The sequence below is a fragment of the Homo sapiens genome, chromosome 13, assembly GCF_000001405.40.
Source record: "Homo sapiens chromosome 13, GRCh38.p14 Primary Assembly".
Taxonomy (NCBI): domain Eukaryota; kingdom Metazoa; phylum Chordata; class Mammalia; order Primates; family Hominidae; genus Homo; species Homo sapiens.
Window position 1 is genome coordinate 112,044,965 of NC_000013.11, and position 20,429 is coordinate 112,065,393.

General features: G+C 49.2%; 1 long non-coding RNA gene and 1 other non-coding gene across 2 annotated transcripts in view, besides 2 other annotated features; both read left to right on the top strand.

The window, feature by feature from the left end:
* The window catches only part of SOX1-OT (SOX1 overlapping transcript), a 135,706-nt gene that overhangs the window by 72,655 nt on the left and 42,622 nt on the right, over positions 1 to 20,429 (top strand). The window lies entirely within an intron of this gene.
* LOC124900341 (small nucleolar RNA SNORD44) lies at positions 7,114 to 7,174 on the top strand. The gene has a single exon (XR_007063953.1). It is a non-coding gene; the product is annotated as a small nucleolar RNA SNORD44 (small nucleolar RNA).
* Positions 8,902 to 9,102: a silencer, noted in NCBI's record as "peak2105 fragment used in MPRA reporter construct". NCBI's record gives its function as "represses an SCP1 promoter by STARR-seq MPRAs in K562 erythroleukemia cells {active_cell/tissue: K562}" and the evidence as "EXISTENCE:reporter gene assay evidence [ECO:0000049][PMID:32103011]".
* Positions 11,035 to 11,764: an enhancer, noted in NCBI's record as "H3K27ac-H3K4me1 hESC enhancer chr13:112710313-112711042 (GRCh37/hg19 assembly coordinates)". NCBI's record gives its function as "activates a minimal SCP1, AML or CMV promoter by ChIP-STARR-seq in primed H9 embryonic stem cells {active_cell/tissue: H9 hESC(primed)}" and the evidence as "EXISTENCE:reporter gene assay evidence [ECO:0000049][PMID:30033119]".

Consider the following 20,429-nt stretch of genomic DNA (forward strand, 5'->3'; position numbering starts at 1 on the left):
GTGTATGTGTATGCATGTGTATGTGTGTACATGTGTGTGTGTGTACATATGTGTGTGTACATGCATGATGCATCATGTATGTGTGCATGTGTGCACATGTGAACATGTGTGCATGCATGTGTGCCTGTGTGCATGTGTGTACGTGTGTATTCGTGTGTGTACGTGTGTGTGTGCACGTGCTGTACCTCCAAGGCTATGAGGATGGTAAAACAAAAATGTGCTCCAATGTTAAGTAGCAAAAATGTGTGTGTGTGTATATATATATATAGAGAGAGAGAGAGAGAGAGAGAGAGAAACTAGATGTCTTCACAGGCAATACTACATTTATTCGAATGATGTAAGTACTTCTTTTTTTCAAGTATTAAATTTCAGGATGAAACATGCTTTCTTTCATTCCAGATTGTAATTCATTTAAAATGGAGGACTCATAACTACAAATAGTAAATTATCTCGAGGAGAGAATGGAAAACAGGGGAAGGGAGGAAGAAAAACCCCATAAGTCTTAGAGTGAATGTTTGGCTACTATTTTTTCTAATTCTCAAAGGAAATGCATCTTTATTTTATCATTATACAGAGAGGCCCAGAGTCAAGTAACTCTTCAGCTCTAAAGACTTTCCCCTGAACCTCTTTTAAGAAGAAATTATTTCAAATGCCCTTGGGCAGCAATATGAAAGATAATACTCAGGTTATGTTGCAAACAAATCTCCATTTTAAAAATGAGCCAGATTCCTCCCTCTACATTTCTGTCCCTTGTCTTTAATGCATTCAAGGACTCTTGGGAAGATTGAGAAATAGGCATAGAAACAACCTAATAATACAGAGAAGTCAGCATGTTTATTGTATTTTTGAAGAACTCAATAATTCCTCTACATAACCTAGTTTCTGACTGGAAGATAACAGGCATTTCATCTTCAAGAAATTTGAGAAGATTGGGTTAACAACTCATGGTTGGCAAGGTATCCTGAAAGTTCACTGACTTCCAGAGCTTCCCTTTGCTTTGTGATAAAACATCATTCTCAACCTTGTGTTGTTTCACGCCCTGTCTTTCATTTTTGCTTCGCCTGTAAATAAACATTCAGTTTGCTGGAATTAGTGAAGCCAAGGACGTGGTGGCATTTGACATCCTTGGGCATCTGATAAGCCGACACTAATTCCAAAGGGGAGCCTTACTTTTTAAACACTTAATTTTCTTTCAAGTAAATTACAGGAAGAAGAACAACCTTCCTCCACGTCTGCTGCTCTTCATTTCTTCCCCAGTACCCATAATCCTGAAGGGCTTCCTTCAGAATTTTGGTAACGCAGGCCTCTGCTAGGAATACCGTCAGCCTTCACTGATGTTAAAAGATCTTTTTTCAGCCTTTCTTTGAAGGAGGTTTTTGTTTCATACAGAATTGCTGTGGCTTGACAGGTTTGTGGGGTTTTTCTTTCATCACTGTAAAAATGCCCTTCCGTTGTTTCTGGCCTCCTTGTATTTTGTACAGGGGTCCACTTAGACCCCTGTATGTGTGGATTTTTCCCTTATCTTTTTTTTTTTTATCTGTTTAACTACAATGTGCCTAGGTATGGTTGTCTTTTTATTTTGCATACTCCTGCTTGGAGTTTGATTAGATTCTTGGATATGAAAGTTATGTTTTTCATCAACTTAGGTAAGTATCTGGTCATTATTTGGCATATCCAGCCAAAGAAAAAACCAAAAAGGTGATGCCCAATATCACTTCCTTCTCCTCTGGGCCTCCAATTCCATGTGTGTTAGGCGGTTTAATATTATCCATAGGTCCCTGAGGCTCCACCCCTTTTCCTTCTAGCTTTCTCTCTGTTCTTCTTACTGGATGATATCTGCTGATGTCTTCAAATTAACAACTCTTCCTCCTGATATTCCTTACCTGCTGTCAAGCCTATCTAGTGAATTTTTCATTGCAGTTATTATACTTTTAAGATTCTTAAGTTCCATTTGGTTCTTTATCATTTACATTTTGTCGCTAAGATTCTCAATCTGTTCTCTTGTTAAGACTATATTTTCCTTCAATTCTTTGACCATGTTGTAAAAGCTGCTTTAAGATCTTTGCCAAGTGCAACATCTGAGCCATCCCAGGACTGGTTTCTTTTGACTGCTTTTTCTCTTGACTATGAATCTCATTTTCCTGTTTCTTAGTTGTCTGGTGATTTTTTTCCACTGATACTGACTTCGTGGATAAAATGCTGTAGAGACTCTGGATTTTGGTACCTTCCTTTTTCCGTTATTGACTCTTATGACAGCAGGTAGTTCAATCACTGAATGATCTCTGTGAATGTGAGCATATCTCTGGAAGTCCAAAGTGCTTCCCAAGCCCCTCCAACTTTGCCAGACTTACCTTTCAACCTCTATATCCTTTGTGTGTCTTTGCAGAGCTTGATATTAGGTTTTGTTAGGGCAGGACTAGAGTGGTCTTACACTAGCATTTGATCCCACCACCTGTGGCAGTCTATCTGGCATCTCATCTGGACACCACAGGTGTTAAAGTGGCATTAAGATCTCTCCGCCTTGACAGGACTGGAACTCTGGCAGCACTCCACTGCTCAACCTCCCGTTTTTCTGCTTAACTCTCAATCCCCTGCCAGCTTCTATCGATAAGCCTTGGTTATTTCTGCCTTGTTCATGGGAAGCCCAGCCCTCAGCCACAGACCATCTTGTTACTTGGCTCTCTGCTCTCTACTCTTAGACCCTATGGATTCCAGCTGCTTCAGGTGCTTCAAACTTTGACCTCTGCTTTCCCAACTCAGAGGGACCACCATACTCTCCCTGGGTTCCAGCCCCCCCTGGCCATGGCCGGGAAATTGTTCACAGGCAGAGACCAGGGCAGGGGCTCATTTCCAGAATTTTCCTTCATTCACAGGTCCTTAGGGAACACCTATTGCCCACCACTGGAAAACGGTTACCTCATATATTTTGTCAGGTTTTACAGTTGCTTATTGCTGGGCACTACTTCAATACCAGTTTCTCCACCATAGACAGCCACCCATCATTGCTGATCTGCGTGCATCGAACAAGTATTTATTGAGCATATTCAATGTGCTGGGCACTAGGCACAGTGTGGGCCAAATGTGATGAGCCCTGCCCTCATGGAGTAGACAGTCCATGCGAAAAAATAGACATGAAACAACCACAAATCTAAGTCTGTAGTTAAATTATGATAGATATTGTGTGCTGAAAGTAGAGAGTGCAGTGAGAAAATAACACTGAGCACCCTAATGTAGATGGGGGGGGGAAGCCTCTTTAAACACGTGGCTTGGGAGATGAGTGGGCTGGATGAAAGGCTGAGGGGAGACTTTGAATATGTGAGTGCGCACAGGGGACCTGCACAAAGAGCAGATGGCAAGGAGGCCCCGCAGCAGGAGCGAACTGAGTGTCCTTGGGCTGGAAACAGAAGCTGAAGATGAGGTTGGAAAACCAGCAGACCTTGGAAGATCTCAGGTTATACCTGCGGTGAAATGGAATTCCACGGAGACATTTCCAGCAACAAGATCAAGTTCAGAAATGTCTTCTTACAAGTAGGAGCCAAAATTCCAGCAGGTGCTGATACGGCTCTCATGGGTGAGCCTTCAGGAGAGAAGGAATAATACGCCTTTGAGAGAACACAGAGCCAGCTGAGGATCTTTGCCTGGGAAGAATCAATGTATCCTAGGTCACTATTTGTTGAGGCAATAGAGTTTCAATAGTTAAATCTTTCTCTTTCAAATCTTCGGATGATAAAATCTTACCTAAAAAGTCATTTTAAACCTACGAGTTAGTTCTTTGCACTCTAATATATTTCATTTTATGTAGCTAGGACCAACTGAGTGAAGAAGCTAGAATTAGGTGGATTGGGCTAGTATGCTAGAGGGTATTATAACAAACGTGAAGTTGACATTAGCAGAAAAGGACGGCCTACAGGGAAGGAGTTCTAGGTGCCAGGCACCACACTCATGCAATTCCTAAAACTTTCTAGAATTGTTTTTTGATCCCTGACATAAACCTGCCAATTAACAAGTGTCTATTGCTATCAGGGTCTCCTTATGTTAACTTCTTCAATGTATGCTTAAACATTTTAAAGTCATTCAACGCAAAGTTCCAAACACAGCACTTACAAACTCATATTCTAGGTCAGCCCTTCACATGGTCACCATATTGTTTATTTCCTGCTACTCAACTGAGGCAATTTTTGCCCAATATAGACAAATATTGATCAATCTGGTCAATTTTGCCCTTAGTCATCCAGTAATTAAAATTTTTTGGCAAAAGGGTATTAATACTCATATGCATGACATACTTTTCCAAAATATTGCAAAAGGAGCTATACTAAAGTTTTAAAGAGATTCTGATACAGTAAAAGCATGCATCTTTTCTGTGTAAGATACCAAAAAAGATGCATAGCTATCACTGTGTGTGTGTGTGTGTGTGTGCATGCGTGCGTGCACACTGGAAGCAGCTACATGCCCATAATCACGTGCATATATAACCTAGTTTCTCAATGTCACCTCATATATATTTTGCTCGGCTAAATTACTGAAAATAAAATGTATAGCATGATATATTACAAGCATATATTGTGTACAGTTTGTATATAAAAAAGAAAGAATGATTAAAAGTCGATGAGAGACTGTTTATAAATCTTGATTGCTTCATAATTTTAACTTTGAGCAACATTTTTATCATAATTATAGGCTTTCTTAAAGCATTTATGCAGATTGTTGTTACTCAAAAGGGGGTTTATTCCATTTTGGTATAAACTACACTTTTTTTTTCTTTATGAAATCACTCTTTGAGTTCCTAATACCCAGTACTCTGCCAGAGCTGCAAAATGTAAATAGCAGGAAGCACGTGTCTTAACAGGACTATCACTGGGCTCCCTCTCATCTTGTGCCTTATTGCCCCATTGACATGGGAAAGAATAAAACTTGTCTATAATAATAAGCATTTGACATGTTTAGAAGCTTCTGGATTCCTCTCAGAACACTAATGTTCCTGGGAGGCTAATACATTTTTGTACCCACCTCACAGATCAAAAAATTAGACCCTGGGGGTCTAAACCATGATGAAATATTCCATTATTTAATTTTAGAACCATGAAGCATTAGATTTGAAAGGTGGATTCAGAACCCATTGAGTTTGGCTGCCTTATATTCCAGCTTGGAAAACTGAGGTCCTGGAAGAACAAAGCACCTGCCCAGGGTCATGCCCAGACATTTGCCTACATCAAGCTCAAAAAGCACCAGTGTAGTGAAATGTAGACTGACTTATTCAGAGGCTTTAGCATCATGCAGAATCAAAGCCAGGAGAAAAAAAAAAAAAAAAAAAAAACTACATCAACTTTTTCTACCAAGGAATCTTTATTGTAGCTCCATGATCACAGACCCAACAGGAAAGAAGGGAAAAAACTCCTCATCAGAAATAAAAATAAAAACAAAAAGCAAAAAAAGCTTTAAGAAGTGCGTGACAGATGGAAAGAAAGAGCATCAGAGAAAGGCGGAGAGGGGCCAGCCCAGAAAAATAACCAGCCAAATACCACCAGTGAGGCTTTGCCCCACATTCTGTGAGGACAAAGACGGCACCTACTTTTCATCACCTTTACATCCCCAGGCCCAGTACAGTGCCTGGCACATAGGAGGAGACTGGGAAATGTTTCTGAAATGAATGAATGAATGAAGGGAGGAATGAATGAATGAAGAAATGAATGAAGGTCCAAAATTTAAAAAACTCCCCAAGCAAGTAAGAGGTAAGACCTCCAAATCCTGTAGTTGATGAAATAGGAAATGTGTATTCCAATTGCACTTTAATTCTGGTCCATAAATAAGCCTTTATGAGCAAAAGCAATAAGACTTTTAGATATGCCCACTGTTCCCACAAAGGGCAGTTGGGTTACATGTGACAGAACATGACAGAGTGTCGAATTTTAGTTAGTGACTGGAGATGTTTAAGGACTTCTGAGAAAGAAGCACTAGGAAGAGAACATTGAAATGTCAACGTAGATCAGGGTCTAAGGTACTGCAGACAAAGACCTCTGGCTAGGAGGCGATGCTGGATACACAGCACACACCACACTGGACACACCTTTGGGGTTTTCCCTAAGAAAGTAAGGTGTTTCTTGGCCTGACCTCACTCTCTCCATCACCCCTTGAGCCAGGGAATCCATGTGAGTGGGTCTGCCAAGAAGACCAAGTGAAAAAAATGAGAGTCTTCCAGTGATGTTTTGAGTGCCAGGTCCAGGTGCTTTTACATTCATGACATCGTTCAGTTGTCACAATAATCCTACCATGTAGGATTTAATATCTCCACTTTATGGATTAGAAAATTGAGGATTAGAGAAGTCACCAACCAGTGCTCCAGGCAACTGCAGGTCACGAAGCTGTGACTTGCCTCCAAAGACTGCTGACTAAAGGCTGGAAAGTCTGGCTTAACCTACTCGTGTGCATATCACCTATGAATTAGCATAGTCAATAAATACTAGAAATGTTACAGTTGTTTTAACTTTTCAAATGAAATTTGTTTTTATTGTGAATTAATGACTGAGAAGGCCCTTTCTTCCTATATAACATGGGTTATTTTTATTTTTATAGCATCTAATATTATTACAATATTATACACACACGTATCAGCAGACTCTTCCTCTTTTGAATGACAATTACTCAAACTCACCCCATTGACAATATCTAACTCTTCGGTGAAGTCTTTCAATAATTGCAGCTGTGCTTCTATATTCAAGGACTGGAATAAAGTGAAATATTGACCCTGGTCAGCTCCGATTCAGAGAAGATTTTGATATACCAATTGTATTCCTATTCAACAATTTGTACATTCCATTCTAATTGCATCTGGCTTACTACAGAGGTTGAGTGTTGAGAAAAAAGAATGGGGCAGGAGAACATGAGAGGGAAGCTTGTGTTCAGTTAAACATAAGTACAGAAATTCAACAAACCTGTGAAATTCATTATTTTATGGCTCATCAGTTGGTTCAGCTTAAGTCCTTGGATAAACTGCATAGAAAAATATTACCGCTTTAGTGAAATTACTGCTTCTAATAAAGAATGGGTAAGCAGAATCTCAAGTTATATAATTTTTTTTGATGAAGTCAATTCCAACAACGTGAAAGCCACTGCCCTGGGTGATGATAAGCAAATGATGCCTGAATGTGAAGGTCATACTCGGCTTTAGCTGATTTCAAACAAATAAACAAAAACAAAAAACAAAAACCCTCCACCACAAATGATGATTTCGGAAAGTTATCTCACCCCTGGAATCACCTGTGATGAGAGCATGATCCTTCTAGCTGCATCCTCTTCATCCTTCAAGCTCCCGCACCATGAGGCCCGACCCTCCCGGGGTTGCACAGCTGCACCCCACAATTCCACACTGAAATCTCGGGGTCCCTCCGCCACATCCGCACAGCACATCTGCCCTGAGCAATTGTTCCCTGCCCCTCCCTCAAAAGACCTAGGCCCAGTTCCACCTCACAGCTGAAATAAGACATCCAGTGCACTGCACGAGCCCGGGCAGGGATGCTTGCTGGAGTTGACATCTGTTCCAGTCAACCCCCACCTTCCTGAACGGCACATGCACCTCGGTAGGAGACGAAGCAAAATTCTGTGGTTAGATACTTTTACGTGGGAAAATAGTGAACTTTAGCCGGAAGGTGAAAATACATTCTTTTCTGTACATTTAGAATTAATGAATCCTATAGACCTGTGGAAACTGCTTTTAAACATCTGATTTTCCATTAAGATATAATTAAAATTAATGGCACAGAGAAGCTTTAGTTCTCTGGAGCCCCCCCCCCCCCGGCAGGAGAATATTTGTTCTGTATATTTTTAAGAGGGTTTGGGGGGCATTAAATTATGCTTTGATTGTATTCCATCAATGAGAATATAAGACACACACATTATTATAAGAAACAAATAAGCACTTATTAACTGTGTGTGCATTCATGGGACACAGAAATGGTCTCAGGCTGAGCTTATAGTGAAGCAAATTAAAATTAGTGTTTTGACTTTTGTTCATTATAAAGTAAATACTAGCCTAAAGATTCCTAATCAGTTGCCAAATACCTATCATGAAGGAATATGCATTGCCGAATGAAATCGCTGTCCTCAAGAGAAAGCTCTGAGAATTCTTTTAATCTACATAAGGACAAATTTGCCTTTCATCACATTTTGTAGTAAAATCCAAAGCTTCGTTTTGGCCTTCCAGCCACAAGTTTAAGTTCCCAAAATGAAGAGTTGGTATGATGGTTATTCAAAGAAAAGGAGAAGTGTGAGTTAAGCACGAAGTCAAATGCAATCCACGTTGTAAAAATCGGAAAACCAGTGATCTGCTGTGATGTGGGATCAGTCATGGGATGCCTCCTGTTCCCATGTGCGGTTGGTGTCGGAGTTAGACATCATCAAGAGGTGAAAATTTGGGAAGACATTTCAAGGATGACGGAAGCTCTGAGTGAGTGAACAGATATTCTTCGTGCAGAATAATCCCCCGTGGCACTGGTTTGCCGGCAGAGCAGAATGTTTGAGACCTCACCCCGCAGCCACGCGCGGGCGTAAATCGTTCTCAGCACGAGAAACACAAAGGCCGCAGGATCCCGCGAGCCGCAGGGGGTTGGGGTCATTTTTTTGATGCCGCCGCCCTTAAGAGTTCCAGTCCTTCAGGCGAAAGGGGCAGATCAGGCCTTCGGGGAGGACCCTTGCCTGGGAGAGGGAGGGCAGTGCCCCAGGGGCCGCCTCCGGTGCCTAAACAAAGAAGACGGTCTTCTGAGCGTCCGCCCTCCCCGCCTCGCCGCGCAAGGACCCCGCGCTCCTGGGCCACTTCCTCTTGCAAACCACGAGGAAAAGCCAGTTTCCACCCAGACGGCCGGCTGTGGGCAAAGGGAATAAAGCGCCGGTGCCGCCACGCTCTGCACTTGGCTCTGGGCCTGGCGGGGGTCTGGCGCGGCCGCAGACACCTGGGTGACCTGGGCCGTGGTTGCCGGCTCTGCTCGGACAGAGAGTCTTTTTATTTGTCGCCTCCGCCTTCTCACCACTGAGGCCGCAGGACAGCCTCGCTGCCCGGGGCCGAGTTCGGTGGACAAGGGGGCAGCGCCCACAGCAAGCCGGAAAGAGGGAGGCGCGGGGCCGCGCTTGGGGCCTGCCGCTGCACGCCAGCCTGGGCAAAGAGCTGCCACCTTCTGCGGGCGAAGCGGGTCGGGACGCAGGACGGCAGCGGGGCTGGAGGCAGCTACGTGGGTCCACACCCCCATGCCCTGCAAGGCTCCTTGGCCCTGCTTCTCCTCTGTCTCGGCGGGAGAGGAGCAGCCTCGGTTTTACAGAATTTCAGGGTCGCGTCTCCAGCGCCCCGGGCGAGGCCACTACGTTTAGGAGCGCTCGCCTTCGCTGCGCTGTGTACCGTGTACACACTGGCTCCGTGCGCGAGACCCCGATGTGGGTTAAAACTCCACTTCACAACCCCCATTGATACGGGTTTGACATCTGTTTGCCAGAGTGTTTTGCACTTAGCCTAACACCCGCTATTAAGTGACAAAATTGTGGCAGCCTGTCAAAGCCAGCTGACTGGCAGCTGCTCCGCTTACAAAAACCATTCAAATATTTGCAGGTTTTGAAGGTTTATGCAGTGTTGTACCCAATCTTTCAGCGACTTAACATGTAAAATATAAGTCAAAGTTTTAAATCTGGATTCCAAAATGTTTCCATTTTCCATACAAAAGGAAAAAGCTTTCAAGGAGCCTGCTGGAATGGGTCCAATTCCAACGTGTCTCCGCGTTTCCCGCCACGAAATTCCTGCACAAACCCGGTTTTTTAAAGATGTCAAGGACCAACTTCCTCTTGTTACCAGCATCTTGGAGGACTGAACTAAATTGCCTTAAACTCCAAGGGAATACAGTTTCTCAAAAGTAAATTTTTTAAAAATCCCCAAGTAAAGAAACGTACCTGCTTAATTTTGCTTTTGACACTTAGACCAACGTGCCTTTGGGGGAAAGCGAGGCTGCTAGGAAGAGTGTTCCTAGTCAACATCTGAGCTCTGGCGGCTTCCAAAACACTCACTCCTCCACTCGCACTTCTAAATAGCTTAGTCCGATTAAGAAATAATTTGCAAATGACATAGTGTTTCTCTAGATTAAGATCCATCGAGTGAAGTCATGTGGGGTTTTTGTCTCCGAGATTAGAGCCAGACAGACAAGGATCTCCTGCAAACTGCAGCTGCCGACAATGGAAAAAAAATTACCCTGCGTTTGTCCGGGGGAGATGTGTGCGTGGGTCCGCGCGCCCCGCACCGACACTGAGGGCTGGCACGCCCTTACTGTCTTTCGATTGTGCTGGACTTGTGCGTCCTTTTTTTTTTTTTTATGTTGGTAAACATATTGCCTTGGGTGTGAGGGGGTCACAAATCCTCTGGGCAAACGTGGGGTCGTCATTTTCAAAAAAGCAGTGAGTTTGCTTGTGATACATTTGCAGGGAGTCTCAAGGGTGGTGGTCTTAAGTCCGAAGTGCTGACAGCCTCACTCAACTGTGGGGAGGAGGCAGAGAGGGAGGGTGGAGACAGAGACCCAGACCCCGAGAAACAAGTGTGGCTCCAGCCCAGGAGCCTCACAGAACACATTTCCTCCTCCGCCTTCGGCTCTGCGTGGGCTAGCCCCGCGCTAGGGAGGGCAGGCAACTAGGTCCTCCGAGGTGAGGCTGGGGCTCCGCCTGCAGAGGGAGTGACAGCGCGCCGCGAGGGTCCGCGACCCAGGCAGGGGTGGCCGCACCACCCCGGAGCGCCGCACAGCCCCGCAGGCCTCCCCTCCCGCAGTGCGTGCCTGGAACGCGGGGCCGCCTGGCCGAGGGACGTTTACCTGGAGAGCTTTGTGTCCACAACACTAATCCTTAGACACTGCTTCGTTCAGCAGCTGCCGTCAGTCGTGAGGGCACTAGTGTGGGGATGGGGGCGAATTCAGGAGCCCGTCGCAGAGCAATATTTAAAAAGGGGGGGGGGAGCCGGAGCTGCTCCCAGGGGAGGCCTCGCGCGGCGGCGCCCACGGCCACGGTGTCCCCGCTGCGAGCCAACAAAGCTGAGGCGCTGTCCGCGGGAGGAGAGAGCCCAGCGCGGGGACCGGCGCGGGTGGGAGTGGGGGCGCGGCGCGGAAAACCCCAGGGAAGGACCGGGTGGACACGGGACGGGAGGGGGGTGACATCCTCCCACCCGGGGGTTAGAAAAGGTCCGGGTGGTAGTTCCAGGCGAAAATAGGCAGCCCTCTGTGATGACAGAATTGACAACTATTTTTTGGGGGGGCGGGGGTTGGACTTCCGAGTCCCTCGGGACGGAGGCGCAGGGGAGCAGGAGGGGTGCCCCGTCCCTGCAGTTGCCTCGGCCCGAATCCCGCAGGCCAGGCCGGAACGCGGGGGCGGGGGCGCGGGAGGGGGACCCGCGGCGGGAGGCGAGAGCGAGCGAATGGGGAGAGGAGCGGGGAGCAGGAGGGGACGCAGGGGAGAGGGGACTGGGGAGCGGCGAGAGGAGGACGGGAGACGCGGCTCCACCTCCCAGCTCAAAACGGCGTCCCAGCTGCTCGCAAACCAACTGCTCGATTCTATTCACTGTCGAGTAGGAACAAAAAAGTGGCTATTTATTAGAATACTTGTTTGGTATTGTTCCGCGCCACACAAAAGGCGTTTCATTATGTGGAGGGATCTCCTTTTTCCAGAGAGAAACAATAACTTGAAATTGTCTTTAAAGTCTTTTCTATCAATAATAAATTTCATTTTCTTGTCTCTCTCGCCTGCAGTGTGTGTGCGCGCGCGCGAGGCGAGGAGAGAGGCGCGTGTGCGAGTGAGTGTGCTAGCGGGGGTGCGCGTGTGAGTGTGCGCGTGTGTGTGCGTGCGCGTGGCACCGGCGCCCGCGGCTACGGGGCTGGCGCTGCCGGAGCCGGGCCGGACCGGGGTCCGAGATCTGCGTCGCGCTGGGCACGCTGGCCACCCGGTCCGGAATGAGTCGGGGCTCCGGGAGGTGCCCGTGGGCAGAGCGTTAGGGGCGCGGCCGTGCCGGACCCGCCCTGGGGACCCGCTGGAGCTGGAGGAGGAACTAACTGTAAGTGTGTCTCGAACTTGCGCGGGGGCTTCAGCCCGCCCGGGGCTGCGGAGCTGGCCGGTAAAGGCTCTCGGGAGAGGGGCGCGGTGTCTCCACGGTGACTTTCCGTGAAGGAGGATGGGGTGTCTCCGCAGCTTTGGGGCCCCAGGAAAGAACAGGTGGGTAGATGTGGTGGCCACGGCTAGCGGACTCGCCGCGGGGCACATTTGTCATTTTCTTATCTGTGCGTTCACTCCTCCCCCATCCTCGGCTTTTGGGATTGGCCGCCGCCCAACGGACCCAGACTGTTTCTCTCTGGGTCGCCATTTTTGGGGAGGGGGGAGGGAGGTCGAGTCTGTGGATTTGGGGGAGAGGTTCTTGTCCGCCACAGCTCCGCGCCCCCTCCCCGCCCCTCGCGGCTCCCCCACCCTCGCGTTCGGCAGCGCCAGGCTGCGCTCTCCCCGGTGCACACCCGGCCGCGCCGAGAACTAAATCCGCGGGCTGAAATTACGTTTTAAAAATTAACATGTTGAAGCGTGTGCCATTTAGTGAGAGGTGTTTTGGGCAAAGAATCAATTTAACTGTGACTGACCGACGGGCTTGACTGTATTAATTCTGCTACCGAAAAAAAAAAAAAAAAAAAAGCAATGAGCCGCAAGCCTTGGACTCGCAGAGCTGCCGGTGCCCGTCCGAGAGCCCCACCAGCGCGGCTCACGCCTCAGTCTCGCCGCCCCAAGGTGGGATCCGACGCCCAAAGGAGGGCGCCCCAAGGTGGGATCCGAGCGGGCCGCCCTAGGAGGAGTGAACCCCGCCCGGGCGCACAGCTCCGTGCGCCTGTCCTCCCTCCTCCAGCGAAATCACACCCGCTTTGCCTCCTCTTGCAGCACCGCGCGTGCCTAGGTTCTCGGTCTGCGCAGCTGGGAGTCTCCCCCACCAGCGCCGCGGAGCCGCCCGCTTCCGCTCCCTCTTTCCGCGGGTTTGAGCCTCCCGTGGAGAGGAAAGGTCACGAAGTTTCAAAGGTGAAATGGATTTTCGGCGGTGGCTGGTGCGGGAGTCAATGGGCAGGGCGGGGCAAGCCTGGCAGTCATCGACCCGAGCAGGGACCCGGCTGGCCGCCTCCCCTTGCAGGAAACAGGTGTTTGAACGCGATAGCGGCCGCCAGTCAACTAAGGCATTAAAAGCTCGCTTTATAACATCGATTTCCTGGAGTGCGGTGGGGCCTGCGTTCTGGAAGCTCGTTTGTGAAAGGCGGGGTTGGGGGAATTGCCCTGATGGTACCCCAGTTGGCGCAGAAGATCCCCAAAAGTCCCTGTCACCGCAGCGGCGGACAGCGGGGCTGCCCAGGCGGCTGGGAGGGCAGCTTTTCCCTCCCGCTGGGGTGGAAAGAGGAGTCCTGCTCCGTTCCCCACCCAGGACAATGGTCTTGTTACCCCGGCCTCCTCCCCTGCACCTAGGGCCTGGCATGCAGAGAGCGCCCGCAGCAGAGGGGGAAGTCTCCAACAACTGGCAGGTGTCCCCCGAGGAGCTCCGCTTGATTTGGAAGGGTGGTTAAACCGGGATCCAGGAGGAAAGCAATTCCGTTGCCACCCACATCCCCTGGGCCCTACCAGGCTTCTTCCCCTGCTAGCACATCTCCCGGATGCGACGCAGGCCAGGTGGCAGGGCTGAAGCAGGCAGGCACACAGGAGATGGCATGCGTACCTGTAAGGATGAAGAGAGAGCCTTCAGATGGCCTAGTGCTAGGATCTTGTTATCAATGTCATGGAAACGGATGGAGCCCTGTGGGGAGGCTGCCACGGAGGCAGAGAGAAAGGGGTTGGGGAAGGGAGGGGGCTGGCACCTGGGCGGCTGGACTTGCTGGTCCTAGTCTCCCTCCCCGCAAGGAAGAGGAGGCCCCGAAAACCTTGCCTTGGCTGTGCTGGGTCTGAGGGAAGAGGCTCCAAGTGGCGAGCCTTCCTGTGCCTACCTGGCTGATGGCAGAGGATACACCACCTGAGAAGGCAGGCTGTAACCAGCCTCTACTCCAGAAGCAAATCTGCCTGTGTGTTCTGAGCGTTGAGCATAATTGTAAACAGCTGAAAATAATGAAAATGCATAGAACCCCTACCCTGAAACCCACACACCCCTCCACTGCCGCCCGATGGGGTCCTTTGTCTGGGTGGGGCTCCTCCACTCCCCAGAGCCATGGGAGCCAGTCCAGAAGGAGTCAGTCCATGAAGGGACAGGTGGCCCCTGGGGAGTCAGAGTGGCGTGTTTCTGCTGGCAAGAAGAGGTGCAAATCTCCCTTTAGCTGGTTTAGCAGAAAACTCACCTATGTTTGCCCACTTCTTCTCACTGCCTCTAAGTTGAGATTTAGGGTCAAGCACCATCCAAAACAGGGCTCTTTCTCTGCCTGATCTGCCAAACCTCCCCTATCTCATTTAGGTGGCACTCTCTCCCTAAAGCTAGTGTCTGTCCTGTGGGGTATCCGACCCTTTCAGGGTCAGCGCAGGCCATTCCCGTTCCCCCGTCCGAAGGATGCTGCTCTAATACAAATGTGCTTTCCAAAGAGGCCCTGTGCCCAGGTAGTCACAGGCCTCCACCCAACCTGAGGGAAATCTGATTTCTGCTCACAGGACAGCTGGTTTCTGTCTCTTCGAGGTAAGATAAATGGCATTCAAATGGGGCCAAGAGGCCCTCTATTAGCTCAGCGTGCAGGGCACTGGCGCTGCGTTAAAGCCCCATCCCACAGCCTGAAGATTTAAACAGAACCACTTTCCCCATTTGCTGTTTTCTGAAGTAAGCAACCCATGCGACTGAAAGGGCTTGAAATTGTGTCAAAGTGATGTTTTAATCTCATTGAAAAGTGTATTAAAGGACAAGATGTAATTTATGTGAGATGCTTCGATGAAAGCAGAGATTGGAGTGGATGGTCCTTTCACTCGTGTGAACCTCGTGTCATGTTTATATTGAAGCCTGTGTAGCTAATCTAATTTGCAATAACAGGGATGGCCTGTAAGAAAAAGCATCTCTGATTTCACTTCATTTCTTTTCATATAGAAATTCCCTATGACTTGTCTCCTCTTGTGAGTGATGCCTTTTCCATCTGAGGGCTAATGAGAGAGGATGGAGGAAAGGCCTGTTGACTCATAGCTGCTGCACTGGCTTGCAGGCAGCCCCTGGTCACTGGCTCGCTGAGACTAAGCTGGTCCCTGCACTGGCCTAAAACGCTGTTTTTGATCCTGCAGAGTGAACACTACAGCAGCCCTAGAATGTCAAATCCCACCTGCTCTTCCACACTCCGGGGAGCAGGAGTGGGGGTGTAACAGGCCAGACCAGTTTGTTTCTCCCCAGAATTTCGGCTTTCCCAGTTTAGTCAGATGTCCTGCACTCTTGGACATTTATAATCGGCAGTTTTTAATGGGAGTGGTTATGAAGCTACCCCAGATTCAGAAAAGTCTGATCTCGTACCGGCTCTTTACACTATTACAGAAACAAAACACACCTAGTGCTCAGAGGAGGTGCTTTGTGTGCTCAGGATGGCATCGAACACAAGCATTCTCCGTCAATAAAAAACAACATGCGTTAGAAAATTACAACTTTTGTACAACGTAAAAAGGTGTATTCAAGCTGTTAATTACGGGGGTTTGTGTAAATGAAACTTTAGCAGTGACCCATTTAATTTTGCCGTAATTACTGACAAAATAAGACAAGGCTGAATCACAACACGGTATATTTATCTTGAAGGAGAATATTGCGCTGATGTGGTAAAACCAAAGAGTAAGAGCAAAAATTTAAAAGGGAAGCGCAGAAGTATAAAAAGTGCAAAAAATCACACCCTGAAACCATTTGGGTTAAAACCGCGGAAGACTTAGCTTAGGCGACTTCTCTAAAGAACTCAACCAAATCTGAAAGGCACAGGCATTTTCTCCTCAAAATCCGAGGCTCGAGAACCATCTCCTCTGGCAGGGTCCAGTCTCAGCTCCGCCTCTTGCCTCCTCACCCACTTGGGCATAACTTTTGCGGGTCCTAGAAATCTGGGCAGCAGAAGAGGGAGGGGAACGCTCCCAGCCGGCAGCCGCTCTGGGCGTGCACCCGCCACGCGAAGCCAGAGGTTGGACGACGCAGCCGGCCAGGCGCGGCTCCCGGGGGACCCCGAAACCGCCTGTGGCTCAGGCCCTACTTGGCAAGAAGAGACTGGGGAGTGAGAGGAGGGGTCACTCTTGCTCTCTCGCACAATAGACTTCCCGCAGGCGAGTGCGAACGGCCTTTTGCTTCCTCCTTCTTTTCCAGGACCCTTAGCGACAGGAGAGGAAGAGAAGCGGCCCGGCGGTTTAATTGCCAATTTCCTGATGCAGCCACAGGGCCCAGCAGCGGCTCAGCCTAGGCCACCGGGTCCAGGCCTCTAGGCAATAGGCCCGGCGCCCCCTCCAAGCACCGTTTCCCGCCGACCCCGCAGTCATCACTGTGAGCTCGAGAGTATGGGCAGCCTGTGGTGCCCTGAGGCGCCGGGCGCTCGGCGCATCCGCCGTGCCCACAGCGCTGAGGACCAACTAGGGCTGCCCTCGGCCAGGGGCACTGTGCCCGTTTGAGTGGCACTCGGACCTGGCGAGGGGTGGAAGCCCAGGTAGAGCTCGCGTCTTTAAGAGCCACCCGACAGAACTGCGCGCTACATCTGCGCCAGCTGGGCTGGGTGGGAACAGCGCAGAAATACTCCCGTGCCGGGGCGTACAGGGCAGGTAGGCCCAGCAGAGAGTCTTCTCGGAAAGTTTCCCACAAAAGAAGGGCCGGGCAGGCCGAGCGGCAGGAAAAGCCGGTGCTCAGCGGCGAGGCCCGAGAGGTCTGGCATCCGGCGGCCTCCCAGCTTTGCTCGGGTCTCCCGCCGCCTCTCTCCAGAGCCGCCCGTAGCTCCGTGGGGCGGAGGGCGCAATGCCCCGCTCTGGTTCCAGCCTTTTTCCTCCCCTTGTCTCCTCTTTCATTCATAAACCTGGTGGCTACAGACGCAGCTTGAATATTGACGTCTCTCCCCCAACTGCTCTGCCGTTAACCCAATTACAGAATTCATCAAGAACTGTGTTGAATTATCTCTTTCCATACAGTATCAGCATTAGCCTAATTAAAAGCTATAATGTCTGATATAATGATTAAATCGTTAGCTCTGCTGTAGGGAAGCAATATTTTGTTTTCCCTTCAATTAGAAGCTGATTGAGGTTTTCAGAGCAGGTCAGCTGTGAAATTTGAATTATATGTGTGAGTACTGCTCACAGGGTGAGCCCCTACTCCAAAGCTCCCAGAGCTTCTCCAAATGCTTTCACCCAGAGAGCTCGGAGGCACACAGCACGCGCGCGTGCGCGCGCGCGCACACACACATACACACACACAGTTGTTTGTTCTTCGATTGTGAATGTGCGGCTCTCCACACGAACCGCCCGAAAGAAAGCCTGGGTCGCTTTTGAGGAGAAGGAGTTTCTTGACCCTTCCCCGCAAACGCTACTGGAACGGCCTCCAAACTAGGACGCCTAGTCAGGCAAAGGAGAGAGCGGTGCGCCGGCACGCAGACAGCTCTGCTGCTATCCCTGATGGCCAGGGCTCTCTTTCCGTTCTCCTTCCACACACCCCCTTTCCCTGGGCTGTTATTATTTTTTTTTCCTCCTTCAAAACCAAACCAAACCACCACCAACAAAAACTTCTGTGCTACTCTGGCTTCTCTGGTTTTGTTTGGGAACAGTGGAACCAAGTTAGCCCGGGCCAGGGCGCAGATGATGGACTCAGAGCGCCCAGGGACCCTAGAGAGAGGAGCACTCCTCAAGAGCCCCCTGGCCATCACCCGAGCGCCCTGGAGCGCCATCACCCGAACGCGCGCTCCAGGCCCTCGAACAAGGCCTCTGGCTGCCAGAGCGAGTGAGGGGCGCAGAGGCGGCAGAGAGCGGAGAGCCCCGGTGTCTCCGCGAGGGCGGCGGCGGCCAGCAGACGGCGATCGAGGCGCGCGCCACGGCACGGCCAGCGCAGACACGCCGCGGGGTCTCGGGCCGGAGCCGTGCAGCCGGGCCCGCTGCCTCTTTGCCCCTCATGGCTCCGCGCGGGAGGAAACCGGGCCTTCTCCGCCCGCCCTCCTCTCGCTGCGGTGTCCCCAGCACCCCCGCCCCGCCCCCGCGCGGTCCCCACCGTCGCGCTCCCCTCCCTCCTCGCCCTCGCTCCGCGCCTCCTGTTGGCAGAGATGGCCTCGAAGGCCTCTTCCAATTTGAATGGCTCTTTCTTCTTCTCTCTCCCGCGCTTTCTTTTCCGCCTTCTCCTCCTCTCCTTCTGACTACTCTTGTCTCTTTCAAAAGCTCCGCCTGGAAACTAGCGGCTTCCTCTTCATCTGCCTCCTTTAACTGTGGCCTCGGCCCTCTGGGGCGACACCAGAGCGCGGAAGCCTGAGCCCCTCGGAGATCCGGGGAGGCACCTACACATGGCCTCAATCCTCCAACCGGCCCCAGAAGCCGTAGGAGCTGAACCCAGGAGGGCAACCGGTTGTGGTGCGGCCACATGTCCCTGGAGAGTGTCAGCAAGACGGGTCGACTTCACCAGGACCACGAAAGACAGGGCAGAGTTTCTGTCTTCTTTCACTGTCCCGTAGAACTCCTAGCTTGTCCATCGTGCTCCTTGCTTGGGACTCGGGACTGACACTGGGCCAGAAAATCCACCTCTAGATGCCTCAAAGCTCGCTTTCATGCTGGGGGGCGGGCGGGAGCGGGGAAGGGGGACAAAAGCTAAAAGTGCTAATTATTCCATACAGACAGTTTAAGCTAATGGTGTTACAGTCCAGCACTCAATTTACTTGAAAGTTGAGGTTTCTTGCATAATGGCTTAACCTATCACATACATACAGGCATATATGTGTGCGTGTAACTTCTAGGGATGGCTTGGTTCTGGATTGGCTTTGAAGATTATGACCACAGGTTACATACAACAATAGAAAGTGTCTTTATCCACATTTCTAAGTTGATCTTCGCTTTGGCATTTTGAGCAAAGAGGCACAATGAAGTTTCTGAGCTGCCAAAAAAGCAAGTTTGGTCAATCAACAGTGACAGTAACCCTGTGCCTGGGGGTCTAGACTTCCTATTACATTACTTGGGAATAGGGAAGTCAGTGTTCAAATCTCCAGGAGTCCAGCCTTTGGGAAAGTACTGGGTTTGAAGGAGGTAACTGCCAACTTGGCTGGAGGTAGAAGGGAGAAGGAGGTGCTTTTCAAACTGGTTTTGGACTGTCTTCTCTCTTCTTAAAGAGTCACTGAGGAAAGAGTTTAGAAGGAGCAAGAAATTGAGGCTTCCAGAAGCCATCGATCACCAGCAGGAGTTAATATTATGCTCGTCAATCCTCATGCCAGGAATGAAGGCACAGAGGTCTAGCATGCAGTGCCCTGTGCTGCCTAATTGGCACTGCCTGCTGCTGCCAATCATTTATCGCTTGGCAACAAGTTACACCTGCAGCTTTGGTTTAATACTTATGCAGGTGGCCACACATAGTGCGTGCAGCCGCTTGGGCCTAGGGAACATCTCGTCACTGAAGAGGGCTTATGGAGAGCACCCTGAACGTTGAGCACTAGTGTGAGCTCACAGGATGCTAAACCATTTTCCTCTTATTTAGATGCTCTGAAAAACAAGGGTAACGTCGTATTTGGAAACAATTTTCGGGACTATGGTAGAAAAAAAGTAGACCATTTCAAAGTCAGCTATCCAAGTTCCCCAAAGCATAAAGCATTCCTGCAAAGCACACTGGAGTGCAGGGTGTTTATAAAATAAATTGCTCCATTGATATGGAAAATAATGTGCCAAGCCTGATTCATACAAAGCATTTTCAGGGAGTCTTAAGCTATTTAGTTTAAACTCTAAATTGAAAAGCAGAGGAAAGAAATCTTTCAACTGCTAAGTGGATAATATAGTTTATAATTTGTAAACCATTTCCTTTATTTCAGTCTTGCTGACTTTCCATAACACACTGGATCTCACTGCACACCCATTGCCTCCTAAATTATCAAAGAAAAAAATGGGGCTATAGCATTCCCAAACAATATTATTGCTCCTTTTTTGTTCATTCACAATGTAACTGATATTTGTAGGTAGTGCATGTAACAAATCAAAAGATTTAACAAACTCGACTGGTGAAATAAGAAGGTAGTTGGAAGCCCAGTTTATAACCTAGATATTTAGTGAAAAAATAAATATAAAATGATGTTCCCTTTCTAATATAATTATATATTACTTGATGGATTTACTAGTAAATGCTGAATGGCCTGGAATGAAAGCAGTTTAATCTGCAGAGAGATCAATTTGCTGTTGCACTTCACACTGTAGCAACCCTGCAATAATAAAACAAACCCTACAGTAATAATCATAGCAATTGAGAGGAAATAAAGCATTATTCTTTT